General features: G+C 44.4%; 1 pseudogene across 1 annotated transcript in view, besides 1 other annotated feature; it reads left to right on the top strand.

The window, feature by feature from the left end:
- The window catches only part of GUCY2GP (guanylate cyclase 2G, pseudogene), a 48,418-nt pseudogene extending 28,571 nt beyond the window's left edge, over positions 1 to 19,847 (top strand). Inside the window, exons 11-19 of the transcript NR_028134.1 lie at positions 670 to 838; positions 3,492 to 3,647; positions 9,969 to 10,146; positions 12,584 to 12,724; positions 13,584 to 13,776; positions 15,535 to 15,708; positions 16,772 to 16,870; positions 18,725 to 18,816; positions 19,744 to 19,847. The product of NR_028134.1 is annotated as a guanylate cyclase 2G, pseudogene (transcript). The remainder of the gene's footprint in view (positions 1 to 669; positions 839 to 3,491; positions 3,648 to 9,968; positions 10,147 to 12,583; positions 12,725 to 13,583; positions 13,777 to 15,534; positions 15,709 to 16,771; positions 16,871 to 18,724; positions 18,817 to 19,743) is intronic.
- Positions 12,959 to 13,068: a silencer, noted in NCBI's record as "silent region_2832". NCBI's record gives its function as "represses an Ori minimal core promoter by ATAC-STARR-seq in GM12878 lymphoblastoid cells {active_cell/tissue: GM12878}" and the evidence as "EXISTENCE:reporter gene assay evidence [ECO:0000049][PMID:35858748]".
- Positions 19,848 to 22,265: the final 2,418 nt, after the last annotated feature.

The raw sequence follows: 22,265 nt of genomic DNA, 5'->3' as shown, positions 1-22,265 counted from the left end.
ATATCACTGGTGCCCAAGAGGCCCAAGACCCTGTCCTTGGGTTCACTTATCTGTTCAGGATGTTCCCCCCACCCCATTCCTCCCTGGGACCTCCTCATAGCCCCTCCCACACATGACTTCACTGCCCCTTCTCAGTTAGATTGTGTCATTGTGTAATTACACATTGGGGTTGTGTCATTGTGCAGGGGGAGTATGTGCTTTGACCCTCCTTCCTCCCTCTTCCCTCCTCCCCCTTTTTATCTCCCATCACCCAGGGCACAGGAAAGACGAAAATCTAGTGGTTTAGAAGAAGCTGGGCTTCTAACCCAATCCCACCTGGGTTTATATCCCAGCTCTGGTCCTGACTTCTTGGGAGCGATTTAACACTCCAAATTTACTCATCCTAGCCTGATCACTAGGATGTATTTATTTTAAGCTGGCCTGGCCTTCTTGGCTTCACACTAAGGAGCTGGAAATAGTTTTCTCCATTTTGGGTGTCCCAGCCCCAGTTGACTCCAGGGACAAGGGGCTATGCTGGTGGCTCCTGAACAAATGAACACAGAGATGGGCGCATCCCCTGCCCCAGGCCCCTCTGTCTGTGTTTCTGTCCATCTGTCTCTCTGCCTTGGTTCCTTCCAGCAGTGTTATCAGCACCTGGTCTGCCTCATTTGCTCATTTTCACCCTTGCAGGGCATGCTGTTCCTCCACAGGAGCCCCCTGGGCTCCCACAGCAACCTGAAACCTTCCAACTGCCTGATGGATGGTCGGCTGCAGGTGAAGCTGTCGTGATTCGGGCTGTGGGAACTCAAGCATGGCTAAAAATACAGAACATATGATGAGACAGTGACCAACCACTCAGGTAACCTTTGGTTGATCTTGCACCCACTAGCTATTGGCAGCATGGTCAGAGGTTCCTGGCTCCATCTTTGCTTCCTGATGCTCATCTGTACAGGTATCCACAGGTGGGCCTTCCTCTGGAGCTGATGATATGTGGCTGTTCCGTTCAACTGAGGAGAACGAGAAAAAGAAAAAGTATCTGCAGGTGGCATGAGTTCGTGGGGTGATGTCTGGGTTTGGAGACTGGTTCTCGTCCTAGCTCAGCTGAGCCACCTGGAGCAACCATTGCCCCTCTCTTTAGTTCTCTTTGTTCCTTCCCACATTCATCCTATGTTCTCAGCTTAGAACATAAGATCCGCCAGATATTTTAGAGATAATCGAGTTCCATAGTTCTCTCTCTTCTAGGTCCTGGTCCCTCTACCCCCAACCAACTATCAACTGAATCAAAATATCTGAAGATGGGGTCTTGGCATCTGAATTGTTTTTTAAATGCTCCCAAGTAATTCTGCTGTGCATCTGAAGACAAAACCATTGCCTCAAGTCCACTTTTCCCTTCCCTATGTGCCAAGTGGGGTTCAATGACTCTTCCTACCTGTCCAGTTAATTGAATGCCTTGGATTCGTACCTTTGCATGTATCCTGGGCTCTCCTGAGACCAGTGTTCTCAGCCCTGATCCCCTTTTTGCTGGAGCAGCATGTCACCAGGAGCTTTTTTGTGTCAATTTGGGAGGTTTCTATATCATATGATAGGATGATGTCTTACAGAAGGACAAGGGGGATGGGAATGGTTGCTTATGCCTGAAATCCCAGCACTTTGGAGGCTCAGGTAGGAGGATTGCTTCAGTCCAGGAGTTTGAGACCAGCCTGGGCAATATAGTGAGATGCTCCCGCCCCACCATCTATACTTAAAAAAGAAAAATTAGCTGGTGTGGTGACATGAGGCTGAGGTAGGAGGATCACTTGAGCCTGGGAGGTCAAGGCTGCAGTGAACTGTGATTGCGCCGCTGCACTCCAGCCTTTAGAGACCCCGTCAAAAAAAAAAAAAAAGGGATGGGGAGAAATTTTGTTTTTATTATTAATTAATTAATCTTTTTTTTTTTTTTTTTTTGAGACAGCGTATGGCTCTGTCGCCCAGGCTGGAGTGCAGTGGCGCGATCTCGGCTCACTGCAAGCTCTGCCTCCTGGGTTCAAGCAATTCTCATGCCTCAGCCTCCCGATGTAGCTGGGGATCACAGGCATGCACCACCACGCCTGACTAATTTCTGTAATTTTAATAGAGACGGGGTTTTGTCATGTTGGCCAGGCCAGTCTTGAATTCCCGATCTCAAGTGATTTGCTTTCCTCAGCCTCCCAAAGTGCTGGGATTACAGGCGTGAGCCACCGTGCCCGGCCAAGACCTGCTGGCAGCTGTCCTAGTTCCCCTTCTGCATCCTCTAATGTATATCTTTTGTTTTAATGACTATTACCTATAATGACATAAGCCTATAGACTTCACTGCAGAAAAGGAGGTGTGTAAAATATCTAGAATAGACCCATAAATCTATAGAGACAGAATGCAGGTTGGTGGTGATTACCAGGGGTTGGGGGTCAGGAGAACAGGGAGAAACGGCTTCATGAGTAAGGAGTTGACTTTGGAGTGATGGAAATGTTTCCGAGCTAGACAGAGGTGGTGGTTGCACAACATCGTGAATGTGCTAAATGCCACTGAATTGTTCATTTAAAATGGTTAATTTTTTTTTGGCGGGGGGATGGAATCTGGATCTGTTGCTCAGGGTGGAGGGCAGTAGTGCAACCTCGACTCACTGCAACCTCTGCCTGCTGGGTTCTAGTGATTCTTCTGCCTCAGCCCCCCGAGTAGCTGGGATTACAGATGTGTTCCACCATGCCCGGCTAATTTTTGTATTTTTATTTATTTTTATTATTTATTTATTTATTTGAGACAGAGTTTCGCTCTTGTTGCCCAGGCTAGAGTGCAATGGCACGATCTTGGCTCACCACAACCTCCGCCTCCTGGGTTCAAGCGATTCTCCTGCCTCAACCTCCCCAGGTGCTGGGATTACAGGTATGCACCACCACACCCAGCTAATTTTGTATTTTTAGGAGAGATGGGGTTCCTCCATGTTGGTCAGGCTGGGCTTGAACTCCTGACCTCAGGTGATCCACCTGCCTTGGCCACCCAAAGTACTGGGATTATAGACGTGAGCCACCATGCCCAGCAATTTTTGTATTTTTAATAGAGGAGTTTCACCATGTTGGCCAGGCTGGTCTGGAACCCCTGACCTCAATTTATCCTCCCACCTCGGCCTCCCAAAGTGCTGGGATTACAGGCGTGAACTACGCCTGGCCTAAAATGGTTAATTTTATGTTCTATGAATCGTACCACAATTGTTTTTAAAAATAAAGGCAATACAGAGAAGGAACTTGAACATGAAAACCAGCTGTAATTTTAGTCTTGAGTAAACCACCGTTAACATGTTAGCGCACATCCTTCCTGCTAATTTTCTCTGTATTCACACACACGGACCCCTGTTAGCTCTTCAAATCAGACAACACTGGGGCTGATGGCTCAGGGCTGGATACCTTCCTTTCTCCTGTGCCCCAAAGGATGAAGAGGTGGCTTTTCCTGTTTTGCCTGGCAGTACCCTCACTCCATGCGGACATCCCATTCTTTTGCAGAGCTCTACTGGACTGCCCCAGAGCTGCTGCAGTTCCCGGAGATGCCCTGGTCGGGTACCCCGCAAGGAGATGTTTACAGCTTCGCCATTCTGATGAGGGAGCTGATCTACCATTGGGACCACGGGCCTTTTGATGACCTCCACGAGGCACCGGATGGTAAAGCGGGACAGCCTGCTTGGGAGGTTTTGGTCGTGTGGGCCAGCTTTGAAATGCTGGTTTTTTAAATTAATTGTTTTATTAATATACAATTTATTCCATTATTTTTTATTGAAAAATTCATGCTCTTTCCCAGCAAGCAGTCTCAGAAAAAAATTAAAGAAAAATAAAAATTCATATTCTTTTTTTAAATTAGAAAATGAATTGCATTTTGGTTACCAAAAAAATCAAGGGACCCCAAATTATATAACTTGTTTTGTTACAGCAGCCAGAGGGATCCTATTAGAAAATGAGGCAGATTATGTCACTTCTCTATCAGAAGCCTCCCCTGGCTTCCCATCTGAGGAGTGAAAACTAAGTCCTCCTCATGGCCTACAAGACCACTGAAGGCGTTGAAACCGTGTAACCTCTGCGGCCTTCTGGATTAGTTTCCTAGGGGGCCATAACAGTGACCACAAGCTTGGTGGCTTGAAACACCGATGCTTATTCCCTGGCAGTTCTAGAGGCCAGATGTCTAAAGTCAAGGTGTTGTCAAGGCTCTGCTCCCTCCAGAAGCTCTAGGGAAGGTTCCATTCTCTGCCTCTTCCAGCTGCTGGTGGCTGCCCCAGCATTCCTGGGTTTGTGGCCACATGGCCTCAACCTCTGTCTCCGTCTTCACATTACCTCCTCCTCTGTGTACTTATCCTGGCTGTGCCACTTATGAGGACATTTGTCATTGGATTTGGGGCCCACCCCTATAATCCAAGATGACCTCCTCATCCTGAGATCCTAAACTTAATTCTGTTTGCATATTTGGTTTATATCCCCTTTCCCAAATAAGGAAACATTTGTAGATTCTGGGGATTAGGATTTGGACATTTCCCTTTAGGAACCACGATTCAGCCCACTGCACCTTCCTACTGTCATCTCTTATGGCTCATTCCTTTCAGTCACATTGGCCACCTTCATGCGTCTCCAACATAGACAAATCCATAGAGACAGAATGCAGGTTGGTGGTGGTTACCAGGGGTTGGGGGTCGGGAGAACAGGGAGAAACTGCTTAATGAGCAAGGGGTTTACTTTGGAGTTGTAGAAATGTTTCTATCACTCTAGACACATTTCTACCCCAAACCCTTTGTGTATACTGTTCCCTCTGCCGGGACACCTCTCGCCTCATATTCCTATGTACAAATTTGCCCCATTCTTTCTTAAGGGCTACAAAATTTTTCACTGTGAGAATATGCCATAAGTGGTACCTTGATACACATTTTGGAAATTGCTGCAATGAGCAGCTCTATATCTTTGCACACATGGTGAATGTTGTTTCAGGCTAGATTTCTAGCCATGAAATTGAGGAGATAAATATATTTTAACTATATTCAAAATCCATGATAAATGCTGTTCAGTTGTCCACTTACAAAGGATATTTTCGGGCTTTTTTTTTTTTTTTTTTGCTGGGTTGTCTCTTAATGGCTGATGCCTGGATCTCAGCCTGAGATTCTGATATCATTGGTTCGGGGTGCTGCCTCAGTGTCAGGGTTTCAAAGCTCCCGGGGTGATTGTAATATGTAGCAGCTCAGGCTGCTTGGAGAGAGGATACCAGTGTGTGTGTGTGTACACACATAAGTGTGAGTTTCTAAGTAAACTCAGCCCACTTTCTCTCTTGATTTTTTTTTTCTTGCTTTGCCTACCATTTCTAGCCTATCCTCAGTGGTCTATCTCAAGCCTCAGCTTTAGATCATTATCTGTTACCTGGAGACTTTTTGAGTCAGGAGCCCACTGTGAGGATATGCAATTGCTTTTAGACCAGATTCCAGTTTCTAATTTCTGGCTAAATAAAGCAGAGGTGAGATTAATCCAAAAAGGGTAACTCAAAATCCAAGCGCATCTGACTTTGGCATCAAGCACACACACAAATATTTCCAGACTGAGCCCAGGCAGGAGCCCACCCACAGTCCCTCAGCCCCTTCACCGCCTAGGTTTTGCCAGTTGGGATCTGTAAGGGAAGATACTGTGGACAATCAATGTATTTCCCCTTCGTTGTTGAGCTCACAAAATTAACTGAGAGCTGGCTACATGGGACTATGTATCCACAGGACTGCAACCAGGAAGAATACAGTGTATACCTAATTTATGGGCAAACAGTTCTTCAATTAACTTCTGACACTTTCCTATAAACAAAGCTTGTACTGGGAACTGAGTAGCTATTGATTCTCTGGGCACGCAGGACCCATGGTTCTCAAACTGTGGTGGGCATCAGAATCACTGGGAGGCAGTTAAAACACAACATTGTTGGGTTCCACTCTTGGGGTTTCTGACTCAGTAGGTCTGGGGTGAGGCCTGAGAATGTGCATTTCCATCACCCTCCCAGGTGATGCTGATAAAGCCACAGCTTGAGAAGTACTGGCCTTGGTCCTTGTGGTCCTTGGACCAGCAGCATCAGCATCAGCTGGAAACACGTCAGAAATGCACATTTTCAGGCCCCACTCCTGACCTGCTTCATTGGAAACTGTGGAGGAATTGGTCCAGAAATCTGTGTGTCAGCAAGCTCCCCAGCGATTCTGATGCACGTTGCCAAAGCAAATGAGCAACAGTGCTAACATGTCTAGTAGACGGTTAAAGATTATAGGATGGAAACAGCTGGTTAGAAGTTACTAGGTAATTCACACATGTGCTCTGAAGTGCAGTCCCATGGGTCTGAATTTGCTCTCGAAGTCCTATGTCATTTTTCTGATTCTTTCATGCATTTCTTAGAGCTAAACACAGAAAGCAGAAGATGCCATAGTAATTCAGTCACTGCTTTTGAAGCCATTGCTGTCTCATGTCTCAAATTGTACTTCATTTGGGAAGTAAAACACAATTTTCCAGAGTACTTTTTTTTTTTTTGAGATGGAATCTCTCTCTGTCGCTCAGGCTGGAGTGTGATGGCGTGATCTCGGCTCACTGCAGCCTCTACCTCCCGGGTTCAAGCAATTCTGCCTTGGCCTCCTGAGCAGCTGGGACTACAGGCATCCACCACCATGCCAGGCTAATTTTTGTATTTTTAGTAGAGAGAGGGTTTCACCATGTTGGCCAGGCTGGTCTCGAACTCTTGACCTCAAGTGATCCGCCCATCTTGGGCTCCTAAAGTGCTGGGATTACAGGCGTGAGCCACTGCGCCTCCTAGAGTGCTTTTTAATGCACATACTTTCAGAATACTTTTAGGCATTAAACATGTACACTTAAACAAGATGACATTTTATGCACAGTTTTGTAACCTGTATTTTTTTATTATATTAAACTAACAGTCATATATTATTCAGATTTCCTAGTTCTTACCTAATGTCCTTTTTCTGTCTCTGAACCCCATCCAGGGTACCACATTATATTTGGTTGTCATGTCTCCTTAAGCTTCTCTGGGAAAATTTCTCAGACTTTATTTTCAATGACCTTGACACTTTTGAGGAGTACTGGTCAGATACTTTGTAGAAGTTCTTTCATGTGGAATTTGTCTGATTTGTTTTTCTTTTCTCATGGTTTTGCGTATATGTATTTTGAAGGATGACTGAACAAGTAAATTGTCCTTTTCATTGATTATTGCTGTTGATGTTGACCTTGATCACTTGGCTGGGGAAGTGTTTGTCAATTTCTCCACCATAAAGTTACTCTGATTTCTCCCTTCCATACTTAGTCTAGGGAGAGAAATCTCTATGTGAAACCCACACTTATGAGTGAAGAGTTAGGCTGGGCGCGGTGGCTCACGCCTGTAATCCCCACATTGTGGGAGGCCGAGGAGGGCGAATCGCTTGAGCCCAGGAGTTTGAGACCAACCTGGGCACACGGGAAGATCCAGTCTTTACAAAAATACAAAAATTACCTGGACGTGGTAGCGTCCCAGCTACTCTGGAAGCTGAGGTGTGAGGATTGCTTGAGCCTGGGAGGCGGAGTAAAGATCCTGCCACTGCACTCCAGCCTGGGCAACAGAGACCCTGTCTCAAACAAAAAAAAAAAAAAAAAAAAAAGGAGAGGGAAAAAGAAAAAAAAGGGTGGGAAGTTAGGTTCCACCTCTTTGAGGAGGGAATACTTGGAATTCTTCTCCGTGGGAGATTTGTCTACTGTGCCCATTCATTTATTTCTTCAAGTACTTAGGTCAGTATGGACTCATGGATATTTATTTCATACTTTGAGTTATAACTGAATCACTACTATTTATTTTGTGGCTTAAATTGTTCCAGTTTTGGCCATTCCGTTTCAGGTGGCTTCTGTGTCTCTTTGACATGTAGCCATCGCTGTGGTGTTTTGTCTTGTTTCTGTGTATTTCCTTACTTTCTGGTAAGACAAGAAAGTCTCATTTTGCATATCCCTGCGCCAGTGCTAGAAGCAACCAGTTCTCTCCAACAAGCCCTGGCTGCTTTTGTTGGAGAAAGGTATTAGAAAGTTAGAGCTGACACTAGATACGCTCATTGCTACCGGAGTGTTGTTGCTTATGGGCCTTCTCAGTGGACAGAGTAGGGAAATGCGTGTGCATACTAACCCGTATGTATACATATCTCTATAACTACACATGCACCCATACACATATATCTGCATCTACATTAAACTAAACATGAGTTCCCATTGACGTCTCCAAATCTAACTCATCGCCATCACGGTTCATTGCAGTCTTCCCCATTACTTTTCTGTAAATTCCAACATTGAGATACTGGCTCCCACCATCCACCATCCATGTACTTTGTTCGATCCCTATGTGTGTGTTCGGTGATTTTAGACTTGTTAATCTGCATCCCCATGAGAAACAGTTTTACCAACTAGAGTACGATGATTATGAATAGTTCCTTTTGCCTTTAGTCTTAGAAAGTTTCTAGTGATTTCACAAGCGATGTAGGTCAGCATTCTTTCTCACTCATCCCATTCAGTAAGGTTATGCCATATATTTGTAACACTGTTAGATTCTTTTATCGCTGTTTGCATTCTATCTTGGGGTTGCCTAATTTCCCAATTGGTATTTTTTAAAGTTTGCTTTCCTTATGGCTTACTTTTGTGCTATTAAGCTCTATGGGTTTTGGTAAATACATAGTGTCATCTATCCACCACTATAGTATCCTACAGAAAAGTTTCCTCATCCTAAAATTATCCCCTGCACTTCACCTAGTCAACGCTCTCTGCTCCTCAAACTCTTGGAAAACACTGATCTGTTTTCTGTCTCTAAAATTTTGTCTTTTCTAGAATGTATATTTCCTTAATTTCTGGGAAGACAAGAAAGTCTCATTTTGCATATCTCCTGCCCCAGTGCTAGATGCAGTCAATTCTCCAAGAAGCCATGACTTCTTTTGTTGGAGAAAGGTATTAGAAAGTAAGCAGATAACGAGGTCAAGAGATCGAGACCATCCTGGCCAACATGGTGAAACCCCATCTCCACTAAAAGTACAAAAATTAGCTGGGCGTGGTGGCGCATGCCTGTAGTTCCAGCTACTGGGGAACCTAAGGCAGAAGAGTCGCTTGAACCCAGGAGGCGGAGGTTGCAGTAAGCGGAGATCACACCACTGCACTCCAGCCTGGGCAACAGGGCCAGAGTCTATCTCAAAAAAAAAAAAAAAAAAAAGAAAAAAAAAAGAAAAGAAAAAAGAAAGAAAGAAAGAAATGATGCTAGATATGCCCACTGCTGCTTGCGTGTTGTTGCTTCTGGGGTGCCATGTAAATAGAATCATACAGTACACAGCCTTTTCTGACTGGTTTCTCTAACTTAGTAATAATGCATGTAAGACTTATCCATGTTGTTGCACACACAGTATTTTTATTTTTATGCCAAAACATGTATACATTGTTCTCAAAATATTATTTTCTTGACAACATCTGGTTAAGCAGAATGTTTAATAAATGTCAGTAGGAGCCAGTGAAGAAGTGGGAAAAATTAGGTTTAGAAAATCGGACAGAGAGGCAGGACATGATGGTAACATTTATTACGTGTTAAAATAGCATTTCTGCGACATATTACAGAAAATTTAACAAAATTGCATGAAGCGCGCTTTGGGGGTTTCCAACACGAAATGCCTATACATTCCTGAAATCATATAGAGATATGCTTCTCCTCAAGCAAAGTTCTATTTTAAAAAATCTTGATTTGAAAACAAATTAATTAGGAGGATGTTTGTTTATATGTTTTTCATTAGAATTGTTCATTTTCCAGGCAGATTCTCAGAGTATTCCTATTAAAATATCCAGATTACTTTGGAATTCTAATCTGTTCTATTTATTTAAAAACTCAGTTTACAAATATAAGAGCACAATTACTATTGAAAATGAAGTGTAGTAAGTGGCACAAAGTTCTGATGTTTGGCTGTCTAAACCCAACATGAATTTCAGAAATCATCAACCAAATCAAAGACCCTGCAGCAGCAGTCCCACTGCAACCTTCCCTGCCCGAGGAGAAGGGCAATGAAAAGATCGTGGCCATGGTGAGGGTGTGTTGGGATGAATCTCTGGAGAAAAGACCCAGTTTCTCTTCCATCAAGAAAACTTTACGAGAGGCCAGTCCCAGAGGGTGAGTTAGATGTGCAACAGATATTTGCTCTCACTCAGTTAACCATTAGGATTTTAGAGCTGCTGGGCATGGTGGCTCATGCATGTAATCCCAGTGATTTAGGAGGCTAAGGCAGGAGGATCCCTTGAGGCCGGGAGTTCAAGACCAGCCTGGGCAACATGGTGAGTTTCTGTATCTATAAAAAATAAAATAAAATAAAAAATTAGCCAGGCGTGGTGGTGTGAGCCTGTAGTTTGAGTTTCTTAGGGGGGCTGAGAATTGCTTGAGCCCTGGAGGTCAAGGCTGCAGTGAGCTATGATTGTGCCACTGCACTCCAGCCTGGGTGACAGAACGAGACCCTGTTTCTAAAAAACAAAACAAAACAAAATTAAATCTATATGGCCGTGATTGGTTCTATGTGACTCATTCCCTTCCTCCCTCCTCCCTTCCTCCATTCCTCCCTTCCTCCCTTCCTTCCTTCCTTTCTTCCTTCCTCATACACTCACTCAGTGCTTACCATACACAAAACACTGTACTACATGCTGGTTACAGTGGAGTGAGAAATTTTTCCTTTATTTCATAAATGCCACAAAAATGGATCAGATATTAATAATTCTACTGCCTTCTTTGTCTATCTCAGGTGTCACTAATCAATTAAGGCCCTTGTTTCCAGGGAGTTTTGACATGGCTTCAGAGTCTTTTTCAAATCAGCATTCCAAGGGTTAGGCTAATCAATTTGGACTGGACTGTGGGATAAAAATTACTCACCACCCATAGAGTAGGTTATGACTTAAATTACGCATTCCTCTCCAACAACTTTCTCAATAGTAGCTTCCTTTACACCAGATAATTGTATCATCTTTTAGTACATGAATTTAGGAAGACATGCCCATGTTAGAGGTAGCTTGAGTTGGTAGAAAGAGCCCCAGGCTAGGAATCAGGTGTCTACTCTTAATTTGGACCTTCAGCTATGCATTATTTAAAAAAACAAAACAAAACATTTTTTGGAGTCAGGGTCTGGCTCTGTTGCACAGGCTGGAGTGCAGTGGCATGATCTTGGCTCACTGCAATTTCTGCCTCCCGGCTTCAAGTGATTCTCATGCTTCAGCCTCCTGAGCAGCTAGGACTGCAGGTGTGTGCCACCATGCCTGGCTAATTTTTGTATTTTTAGTAGAGACAGGGTTTCGCTATGCTGGCCAGGCTGGTCTCAGACTCCTGACCTCAGGTGATCTGCCTGCCTTGGGCTCCCAAAGTGCTGGGATTACAGGCAAGAGCCACCGTATCTGGCCTCAGCTATGCATTCTTAACACAATAGCCCTGGGTTCTGCATTTCCAAGCTCGTAATAGTTTTTAAATTTTAAAAATCATTTTTAAATGATTTTTAAAATTAACAAATGAGGCTGGGTGTGGTGGCTCAAGCCTATAATCCCAGCACTTTGGGACGCCGTGGCAGGTGGATCACCTGAGATCAGGAGATTGAGACCAGGCTGACCAACATGGTGAAACCCCATCTCTACTAAAAATACAAAAATTAGCTGGGCGTGATGGCACACACTTATAACCCCAGCTACTCAGGAGGCTGAGACAGGAGAATCGCTTGAACCTGGGTGGTGGAGGTTGCTGTGAGCTGAGATTGCAGCACTGTACTCCAGCCTGGGTGACAGAGCAAGACGCCATCTCAAAAATGTAAAATAAAATAAAATTAAAATTAAAATTAACAAGTGAAACATTGTTTATATTTATGGTATACCATGTGATGTTTCGGAATACGTATACTGTGTAGAATGATTAAATCAAGGTAATTAACCTAAAGATACCTCTTAAGTAAGCTTAAGATACATCCCCATATTTTTTACTTAGAAAATATGGACCTCAATGTTATGACAAATCTATTTTCCTATGTGAGTCTAGGTCTCCTCATCTGAAGATGAGGAATTTAAATGAGTTCTCTGAAGACGCTTCGAAAACAAAGGACTAATAGAATCTAGAAGTGCCCTTACATTAGACCGTCTGAAAAGAAAGGAATGACCCATCCTGAAATCTGCATTCTCAATGTCTGTTGGGAGGTGGGGAATGGGCCATTGAAGGCCACCATTTGTTGAGTGCCTGTGGCCCTGGACGTGACCCTAGACACTTTATGCATGTTATCTCCCTACATCCTCAGAACAACAACGTGATCGTATGTACATGAGGTACGCGTGATTATCTTCATTTTCCAAATGAGTAAAGTGAGGCTCAGAGAAATGAAGGAGGCAGCTTAGAGGGCTGATGAAAGGCAGGCTCTGTCCTGTCACGCGGCTGCAATGCCATTGTCACTTCCCCGATGTCCGTTGGCAACCCTTAACTAGGACACCTGAAAGGCAAGCAATATTTTCCTGGAATGTGTAGCTGGAAGCTCTGTTCCACTGAGGCCCTAAGGGTCTTGGGAGAAAACATCAATGTCTGGTTTCTTTTAAAGTCATGTGAGCATACTGGCCAGTGTGATGAGCAAGCTGGAAGTGTATGCCAATTACCTGGAGGAAGTGGTGCAAGAGAGGACCAGCCAGCTGACTGCAGAGAAGAGGAAGGTGGAGAAGCTTCTGTCCACCAAAGTGCCCAGGTATTCGGAAGCACTGGGGCCTTGAAGCTGCGGCATCACCATCTAGCAGCCCCACATAGGGGGGATTATTTCCATGATTATTTTTCTAAGAGAATGTCAGGTTCTTCTAAAAGGGGTCAGGCATTTTTTTTTGTGCAGTTTGGTACACCTGTAAAGGGAGATAGAGGCAAACTCTCCTGAATCCATAGAAATAGAGGCTGTAGTCGGTCTTTTACGTGGAGGGTGGTGGATGCAGCAACAGGAGAGTAGCCACTAGATGGCGCCCTCGTTTCACGAGTCCGACTAATTGCTACCTCCCCTGTATTTGATTGTAGGTCCAAAACCTCCACACAGTTTAATATGTACCTGTGGCTTCACATTCAAATATTGCTTCATTTTTGGTTCTGTTTCTATATGTTCACTCTCTCAACACTTGGCAGAAGTATTTGCTGTTAAAATTCCCGTGCGCTTCTTGCATGTCTAGACCAAAGAAGTGGGGGCAGGGATTTTTAATGAGATTGGTTGACTGAAATGAAATTGATTTGTGGATTGGTGAATGATTATATTCCCTTCCACAACTGCAGAGTCTTTACACCCTAACTCTATAACCAATATACATAAAGAAAATCCTTTTTGTAAAGGCATTATGTGACCCTCTCTCCTACTCCCCCACAATTTATACACGTCAATTAAAATATCTCTTTAGAGAGAATGCAACTGGAGAAGTGGATGTTAAAAGAATTCCTCTAGAAAATGAATTTTGTTAACCAAAAGCTTAGCCATTGAAGCAAAAGGACCAATGAGGACAACTTTGCAGGAGTCTGTAGGAGATGAGATGAATAAGATCCCATTCAAAAATGATCCGTTTCTCTGGTTTCAGCTTCACTGGAGAACAACTACTAGCCGGAAGGTCCGTGGAACCAGAACATTTCGAATCTGTGACAATCTTTTTATCTGATATTGTTGGATTCACAAAGCTGTGTTCTCTCAGCTCCCCTTTGCAAGTCGTCAAGCTCCTCAATGACGTGTACAGTTTATTCGATCACATCATCACAACTTATGATGTTTATAAGGTGAGATGCCTCATCCTGACTGTGCGATCACGTGTGCTCCTTGCAGGCTGTCTCCGGGGCATGATGGAGAATGGAACTGATTCCAGACATCAGCCAGGAGGAAGCTCCATTTCAGTCTATGTCACTTCACGGCAGAAACTCAATATTTTATTTCTGTTTGTTTTCTTGGAAAAGGTCTTGATTAGTCACAGATGTATGTGCTTGTCAAAACTCACCAGTTTCCTCTGTTTCCTTCCATTATTTTATCTCACAGTAAACACTTTTTAAAAAGAGGCATTGACCTTCCACTGGCTAATTCCTTCCCGTCTTTCCTAAATACATTTCCTTCAGAGGCAGAGAGGCTCCTGTTTACTGTCCTTCAAAGGTTGTCCTTGGATCTTGTGTGGGTCTCACCTCTGTTGTCCTGATCCTTAGCAATTAAGAGTGAAGAAAGATTCCCACTTTTAGACTATCAGACTTGTGACTAAAAGCGGGGCAGCAACAATTCCCTGCCGGGTGCTACTGTGGGAGATAGAAGGACACGGTCACCTGGAGTGAAAACCATTTTTGATGGGGAAAACAGAAATGTTTTGGCTCTTCATGACTGCCGGGTGGTGGTGGTGATGAGGGCTGCTTTCTGTGTGTTCTGACTCTTTAGAAGGGGTCAGCCCATGACTCTAGGGACAGTACCGTGTGCCTGTGCTCATACATGCCTGGTGGGCAGCCACAAGTGCACCAGCACTGACCACAATCCCAGGGCCCTGTCTCTGCCTGTGGACCTGGGGATAGCGAGATTTGGGGGACAGTGTGGTCATATGGTCACATATCTCAGTGACACAGTGACACGTCTTCAATGTTTATCTCCCAGTGTTCCCCACAAATGATGCCTCTGTTCAAGGGTGAAAGAAAGGATGGTATAGATAACCTTTAAGAGTAGATCACACACACCCAACAAAATCAGAACCTGCCCTGCTTAGGAGGATATCTTCTGGGATTTTCCTCTTAGTATTACCTTCTCAGTTGTGTTTTGCTTGAGCTCATATTAAAACTTAGTTTGTATTTCTAAAGGACGTTACCACGGTGGGGAGAGGAAACCCGGAAGCAGGTGAGGCTTGTCGAATAGTTGACTTTGCGTAATTTCAGGGTCACCAGGACAGAGGTGTTCTTACTGTCTGGCTAATGCCTGAAATTCAGCCTTTACCACATCATCTTTGGATTCTGCTAAAATGCAAATGTATCTGGAAAGGGCTGTAACTTTAAGCTTCTACTTGTCATTTATTTCTCTATTGTGAATGACAGATCTGAAAGCTGATTTTATTAGGAGGATGGAGGGGGAAGAGGACAGACAGGCAGATACATACATTATATATATATAATGTGTATATATATATAATATTGGGTGAGATGGTCTCTGCTTGACGGATCCACCTCACCCTTCAAGGTTGACTCTAGGAGCATACTGCTCCCTGTCTCACTGGTTCTGAATTTGGGCTGGGGAAATATAGTCACCGCTACTATTGGATTTCAGAGGAGGAAACAGTGACTGTGGGGAGGGAGGCTCAGGGAAGGAGGGTGAGGGGGGCTTTGTGGAAGAGCCATGACAAGGGCAGGAACTGAAGAAATGCTGGAACTTGCATGGGGTGGAGGTCAGGGAGTGTGACGCGTCCAAACATGGGGCCTCAAGGTTGGGGACAAATGAGGGGCCTTAATCTCTGACCCCACCCCAACCCTTGGCCTCCCTCATGGAAAACAAAGGTCACTCTGTCACTTTGTTTTCAGGTTGAGACCATTGGAGATGCATACATGGTGGCTAGTGGACTCCCTACCACAATGGAAGCCAGCATGTGGCTGAGATTGCCACCATGTCCCTGCACTTCCTCAGTGCCACCATCTGCTTCCAAATTGGGCACATGCCCCAGGAGAAGCTCCAGCTTCGTATTGGCCTCTACACAGGTAGACAAAACTGATGGCCTGATGGTCCAGGGATGGCAGCAGGTAGTTCCGGGTTCCACTCCTAGGTCCAGGGCTTTTAGGAACCTGGACATTGAACAGTAACATCTTTAGGGGAAATAAAAGTTTGAATTGTCTCTGCATGTGTATTTCTATTTAGCTAGGTTGCTTGGTAACAACAAGGACACACAATGGCTTCAATGTATTCAACCAAAAGTAAGGACTGGGCACAGTGGCTCACGCCTGTAATCCTAGCAATTTGGGAGGCCGAGATGGGTGGATTGCCTGAGCTCAGGAGTTTGAGACCAACCTGGGCAACATGGTGAAACCCTGTCTGTACTAAAATACAGAAAACCAGCTGGGTGTGGTGGCAGGCACCTATAATCTCAGCTACTCAGGAGGCTGAGGCGTGAGAATTGCTTGAACCTGAAAGGCAGAGGTTGCAGTGAGCTGACATCGTGCCACTGCCTCCAGCCTGGGCAACAAAGCAAAACTCTTTCAAAAAAAAAAAAAAAAAAAGGAAGAGACCAAAACCCAGGATGGGTTCTACAGGGCTAATTTTCTTCCATGCCTTAGCATCAAATGCCCTTTGATATGCTCTGTGTTTGCTAACTCATGGGCATGTGATCTGTGCAGAAGTGATGCATGCTTGGTTTCACGCTCTTTCTGTCACTGTCTGGAAATTCTTAATCATTTTTGCACAGAGTGTCCTGTGTTTTCACTCTGCACTTGTTCCAGCAAATTTTGTAGCCAGTTATGCTACCTATCTTCCAAGGCTCAACAAAGATAAAACCCGATCCTCAGTCAGAATGAATTGCTCCCATGTTTGTACCACTATTGGCATTGTTCACAGCTCTAGTTCGTGAGTGACATGGTCATTTAATGATGATGTCGCTTTCCAGCAGGTGTTTGTGGGTTCTGTCGGTTTCCTTTCTGTAAACCCTAAAACCTATTGCCAATTTGCCCCAAGAGGGTGCATCACTACATTTGTTCATCTGATGCGTATCGTCGAGTCCAGCCTCGGGCAATGCAGAGCGGTTATGGCCTTTGGTTCTTCATTCTTTAGGTCCTGTGGTGGCTGGTGTGCTGGGGATTACCATGTCCAGATACTGTCTATTTGGAGACACTGTCAACATGGCATCCAGAATGGAGAGCAGCAGTTCACGTGGGTATCACTGACAACACTTTGTAAACACAATATTGTTATCTCCCTCCAGGCCCCTAGCTTTAACCAGGGGATACTTTTAGAAGATGCATTTGCTTTTTGCCTACTGTTTTCCATCTGGAGGTTAAGATCATTATCCACTTCAGGCAACACTGATCACATGCTTTATAGACAGGGTTTTGCACTCTGCTCTTGTTAGAACCATGCAAATACACGCAGCCTCCTTTTTTCTATGACTTTCAGTCCTAAGCAATCACAGGCACATATAATCACTTAAATGAAGAGCAGGAGTTGGAAAGCTTTTTCTTTTTTTTGAGATGGAGTCTCACTGTGTCACCCAGGCTGGAGTGCAGTGGTGTGATCTTAGGTCATTGTGACCTCTGCCTCCTGGGTTCAAGCGATTCTCCTGCCTCAGCCTTCTGAGTAGCTGGGATTACAGGCATGCGCCACCACGCCCGGCTAATGTGTGTGTGTGTGTGTGTGTGTGTGTGTGTGTGTGTGTGTGTGTGTGTGTGTTTAGTAGAGACTGGGTTTCACCATGTTGGTCAGGCTGGTCTTGAACTCCTGACCTCAAGCGATCCACCCACTTCGGCCTCCCAAAGTGCTGGGATTAGCTGGCATGAAGCACTGTGCCTGGCCCGGAAAACCTTTTCTATACAGGGCCAGACAGTAAATATTTCAGGCTTCAGGGGCCATAGAATCTTTGTTGCAACTACTTAAGTGCTGTTGTAGCTCAAAAGCAGCAATAGACAATATGTCAATCAACAGGCATGGCCATGTTCCAATAAAGCTTTATTTGCAAACACAAGTAGTGGACTGGATTTGGCCCATAGGTGATAATCTGCCCTTCTCCGAGGTAGAGTATATTCTTGGTGGTACAGAAGAAATCTATAGCCAGGACCTCCAGGGAATATTACATTCTTTTGCTTTATAGTAATTTTATTGCATTACCATTCCCAGGCACTCGTATGCCATTTGTCAGATGAGACATGTAAAAAAGAATTACTCAGTGATGTCAGTTTCAAAAAGGCTTAGATGATTAACATTGTTTTATATTGTAAATTTTCCACATTATATAAAAACACATTCATTGTTTAAGTTAACCGAGTCTCAAACAAGAATTTTTTTTTTTTTTGAGATGGAGTTTTGCTCTTGTTGCCCAGGCTGGAGTGCAATGGCATGCTCTCGGCTCACTGCAACCTCCGCCTCCCGGGTTCAGCCTCCCCAGTAGCTGGGGTTACAGGCATCTGCCACCACGCCTGGATAATTTTTGTATTTTTAGTAGAGACGGGGTTTCACCATGTTGGCCAGGCTAGTCCCGAACTCCTGACATCACATGATCCACCCGCCTTGGCCTCCCAAAGTGCTCAGATTACAGGCGTGAGCTACCATGCCCAGCATTCAAACAAGAATTTTAAACCTCTCTCTTATCTTGTAAGTAAAGGTTTTTAGGATAAACTTTGAAGCTAGAGCTGCTTATAAAGGATCTAGACCTGATTCTAATTGCATTTCTGGTTACAAACAACATTTTCAGTAAAATGTCCCAGCTGAGGAGCCCAGTGAACTGCCCTCCATGGGGATTACCTTGTATGCTGAATCAGTTCTGCCTTCTGTTTCCAAACTGAATGCACTAAGGTTTTGAGCAGGACTCAACAATGATTGAGCAATGTCAGAATGGTTGAGAATCCCAACCTAAGAGTCCCAGACTTCAGAGAAGTCGTCTGTGATTTGCTTAATGAAAAGTCCTGGTGATCAGAGAATTCAAGCAGTGTAGGTTCCCTCTCCAAAGCAGCCCCTACCCCACTGACACTCCACTGATAAGTTGATAACTAAGCAGTGACTGGTTTATGGCAGCTCTCCGGATTCATGTCTCTCAGAGCACTGCAAGCACCCTGGTGGCATTGGGAGGGTACGATTTGCTAAAGAGAGGCACCATTCCAGTCAAGGTAAGACCAGGCCAACCATGCCCTGCCTGCCCTGTTTGGGTCTCTGATAGAGACATCGAGGAACTTAGCGGGATGGATGCATCTCCATGGAGTGATGCAGGGAGACCTCTAAGGTTCCCCTGGAGGCACTCATGACTGCCAGATCTTCTTCCTTCAGAGGAGAAGAAGTTCCCTCAAATGATCAAACGTGGAATCTTCAACAGAGAACACCTTAACTCCCAGCTAAACCAACCCCTTAGGGAATGCTTTCTTTTTTTCTTTTCTCTCTCTCGTTTTTTTTTTTTTGGCTACAAATGGTCCCCTAGCTTCCTCTTGAACACCCCAGTCCAGAAAAAGAAGTAGAAGGGAAGGCAGTGGCATCAACTCCCCAGTTTTGCTTAGCCTGGCCTTAGCATTCTGTATTCAATCAACTGACTTCAGTAAGAGGAAGACTTTTCTAGAAGGCGGCATTTAGCCATAGCTTGGAACCCATTCCTGCTACTGACCAGCTGTCTGAGTTTGAGGGCTTGTTTTTGTCATCTGCAAAATGGGGGTGGTGATAATACCGTCCTTGAAGGGTGGATGTGAGGAGTAAATGTGGACATGGATGTGAGGCGCTTCACTGGGTGTCCCACTCATACTAAGAGTGCAGTAGATTTTATTATTATTTTTAAAAGATTTTCTTTGCAACAAGCTTTAGTCTCCGTGGACTGTCACCCCCTAGGACATTGCTGCCTGGCCATGCAGGCTTATCAGCAAAGCCCAAGAAAATCAGTAAGATTTTATCTGTAAGGAGGCCTTTTGCTTGTGGAGGGAGGGAGCTCCCACTGTCCCAGCAAGTAAGACAGACCTCAGACATCTGCCCAGAGGCCATGCATTACAGGCAGCCCGCCAGCCCCACCCCAACCCTGCCAGCGATTCCCCAGGGCCTTCCTTTGCCTCCCACAGGGCAAAGGAGAGCAAACAACTTTCTGGTTGAAAGATAAAGAAGGCTTCACTCTTCCACTCCCGAATTTACTGAGGAAAAAGCCAAAGTCCCAGAGATATTGTGAGGTGAGTATTTTCTTTCAAGATGTTTGTGGAGTCACATGAAAGTCTTTGGGGACCCTTCTTCAAGATGCAGTCGATATCCCATTTAAGAGGTGTGGTTCTGGGGCATTGATCCAGTCTCCCACTAGGGGGAGCCGTCTAGCTGGCCCCCTCTTCCACCTCCAGGTGTTTGCTCCCAGCCTGTGCCTCCAGCAAATGCAGATTTGGAGGAGCTGAAGATGGTGAACTCATTTCCTGGGGTGCCAGGGCTGACTTGTGGCTCTCAGCCCTGTGCAACTGCCCTAGCTGCCAGATATTTACAGCCCATTAACTTGAGAATTTGTGTTGAACCCAGTTTCATTCTGCAGGAGGGGAAAGTGGAGAGGATGAAGCCTGTCTTTCTTGTGCAAGATGCCTGCTCTCTAACCTTTGGTGCTGATTTTCCTTATCAGCTAATCAGCTTGCAAGGAGATAGGAGCTCATATCTGACAGCATCTTGAGAATGTGTTCAGGAAAAAAAGCTCTAAGGCATGAGCAGCCACTGAAATCCAACAGGGCCGAGGCTATTTCAAGCAGTCAGGCCCTCTGCAGTTATTGGAAAGCCTGGTTCTGAGCCCTGAGTTACTGTGAGCCGAGCAGCTCCCAAATGCATAATGCCCTCTTCCTGATGTATTGCCTAATTTCTCTCCTATTCACCGAGCAAAAACTCCTGCAGTCAAGGCTTGAATGTTAAGTAGAATTTCTCAGTCATTTATGAAGAGTTTAATTTAAAAAAGGTTCCAGTAGACAAAGACGAACCCATCCATTCCTGCTACGATGGTTTTCTCTTCTACATAATGAATAGGATTCCATGTTGTTTTATTGAGTGGATGTTTTAATAGATTTACTGAACCACTAATGCATTTATAGTACTTCTTTCTTCATCTCTTGCAACTCCTCACATCCAGATATCTTTCATGTGGTTGCTCCTGAATCTGGCAGAGCAATTTGAATGAAATATTGTGTTTGAGACCTTTTCCTGTTGAACTTCCCATGACAGAAGGAGCGAAAATCAATGAGACCAGAAATAGTTTCTTTCTTGCTGGGTCTCTGAGCTGCCTTTGCTGAGATACTTTTGAGACCTGTATGGGAAATAAACTACTTTTTGGCTTATTGAAGGCTTTTAACACCAAATTATATAAAAGATTTGGTGGAATTCTTGCCTTTCTTTAGGAAGAGGGACACAAAAGCACTTTCACTTCCCAAATAATCCAGTCTTCATTGGGATCCTAAGCATTTCCATTACCAGTATTTTGCTTCTGCCCAGAGAGGGAAGACTGAATTCTACATCCATCACACACTCTGTTTTCTATATGAAAATTCTGTTTTCATTGTGGTAGGCTTCGCTCCTCCCCAGAGGCCTTAAGCATTGGGGACTGAAGGCTTTAGACTGATACTTAAAAGGAGAGAAGGCAGAAGGCATTTATGTGAAGAGGAGAGGAGGGCTTTCTCCTGCTACTTTAGCATGGAGACAGTAAGCCAAATTTATCTTCTCATTCCCCATAACTCCTTTTCTTGAGATAATGGCTCTGGATCCCAAACACCTTGCTCAACCATGAAAGGAAACAAGGCCACCTCTGCTATGAGTCCTCCTAGAGAGCTAGGATAGTCCCCATCCATCCATCCATCCATCCATCTATCCATCCATCCATCCATCCATCTATCCATCCATCCATCCATCCATCCACCCACCCGTCCACCTATTCATGTGAACATTTCTTTAATCCAAGGAGCATTTGTTAAGCACTTACTCTGTGCCATTCTGGGGTACACAAGAGAATATGAACTTTCCCTTGATCTTTGGCTTGCAGTCTAGTTAGGGAGAAGAAAGCATAATTTCATTGCATAAAGCAATATTAAGGACTAATAGAGCTATATACAAAAGCGTAGCAGTAACTAAGCAGTCCATCACTGTGACATTAAAAGAACATTAGAAAATAATACACAGATGAAGGAATGGGGCCAGGTAGGGCAATTGCCTATTATTATCCTGTCTTTGTATTGTGTGTGTGTGTCTGTTTTTCTTCCAGCCCTAGCCCATGTGCTTATGTAAGTTATGTTCATGTAATATAGATTTAGTTCTGCCTTTCTTATTGAACATCATAAGCATTTGGCATCTAGACACACATACACACAAAAACACACGTGTGCATATGCAGACATCCACGTGTGCACACATGCACATATATATGTATGCACACCCTCATATATATACACACACACGTGCATACATACACACACATATGCACATGGAGAAAGAGAGAGCGAGACTGTCTTTATGGATCACAACTAAGAATTTTGATAAGAACACTTTTCTAAATCTATATTCAGTATTTGTTCTATGTCAGCTAAGGATACCTGGGGGAGAATTAGTTTTCTTCTTTTTCTTAATGTTTCTAATT

The sequence above is a fragment of the Homo sapiens genome, chromosome 10 (assembly GCF_000001405.40).
Source record: "Homo sapiens chromosome 10, GRCh38.p14 Primary Assembly".
Taxonomy (NCBI): Eukaryota; Metazoa; Chordata; class Mammalia; order Primates; family Hominidae; genus Homo; species Homo sapiens.
The sequence above is the reverse complement of the archived record's forward strand: the minus strand, read 5'-3'. Positions and strand labels throughout refer to the sequence as shown.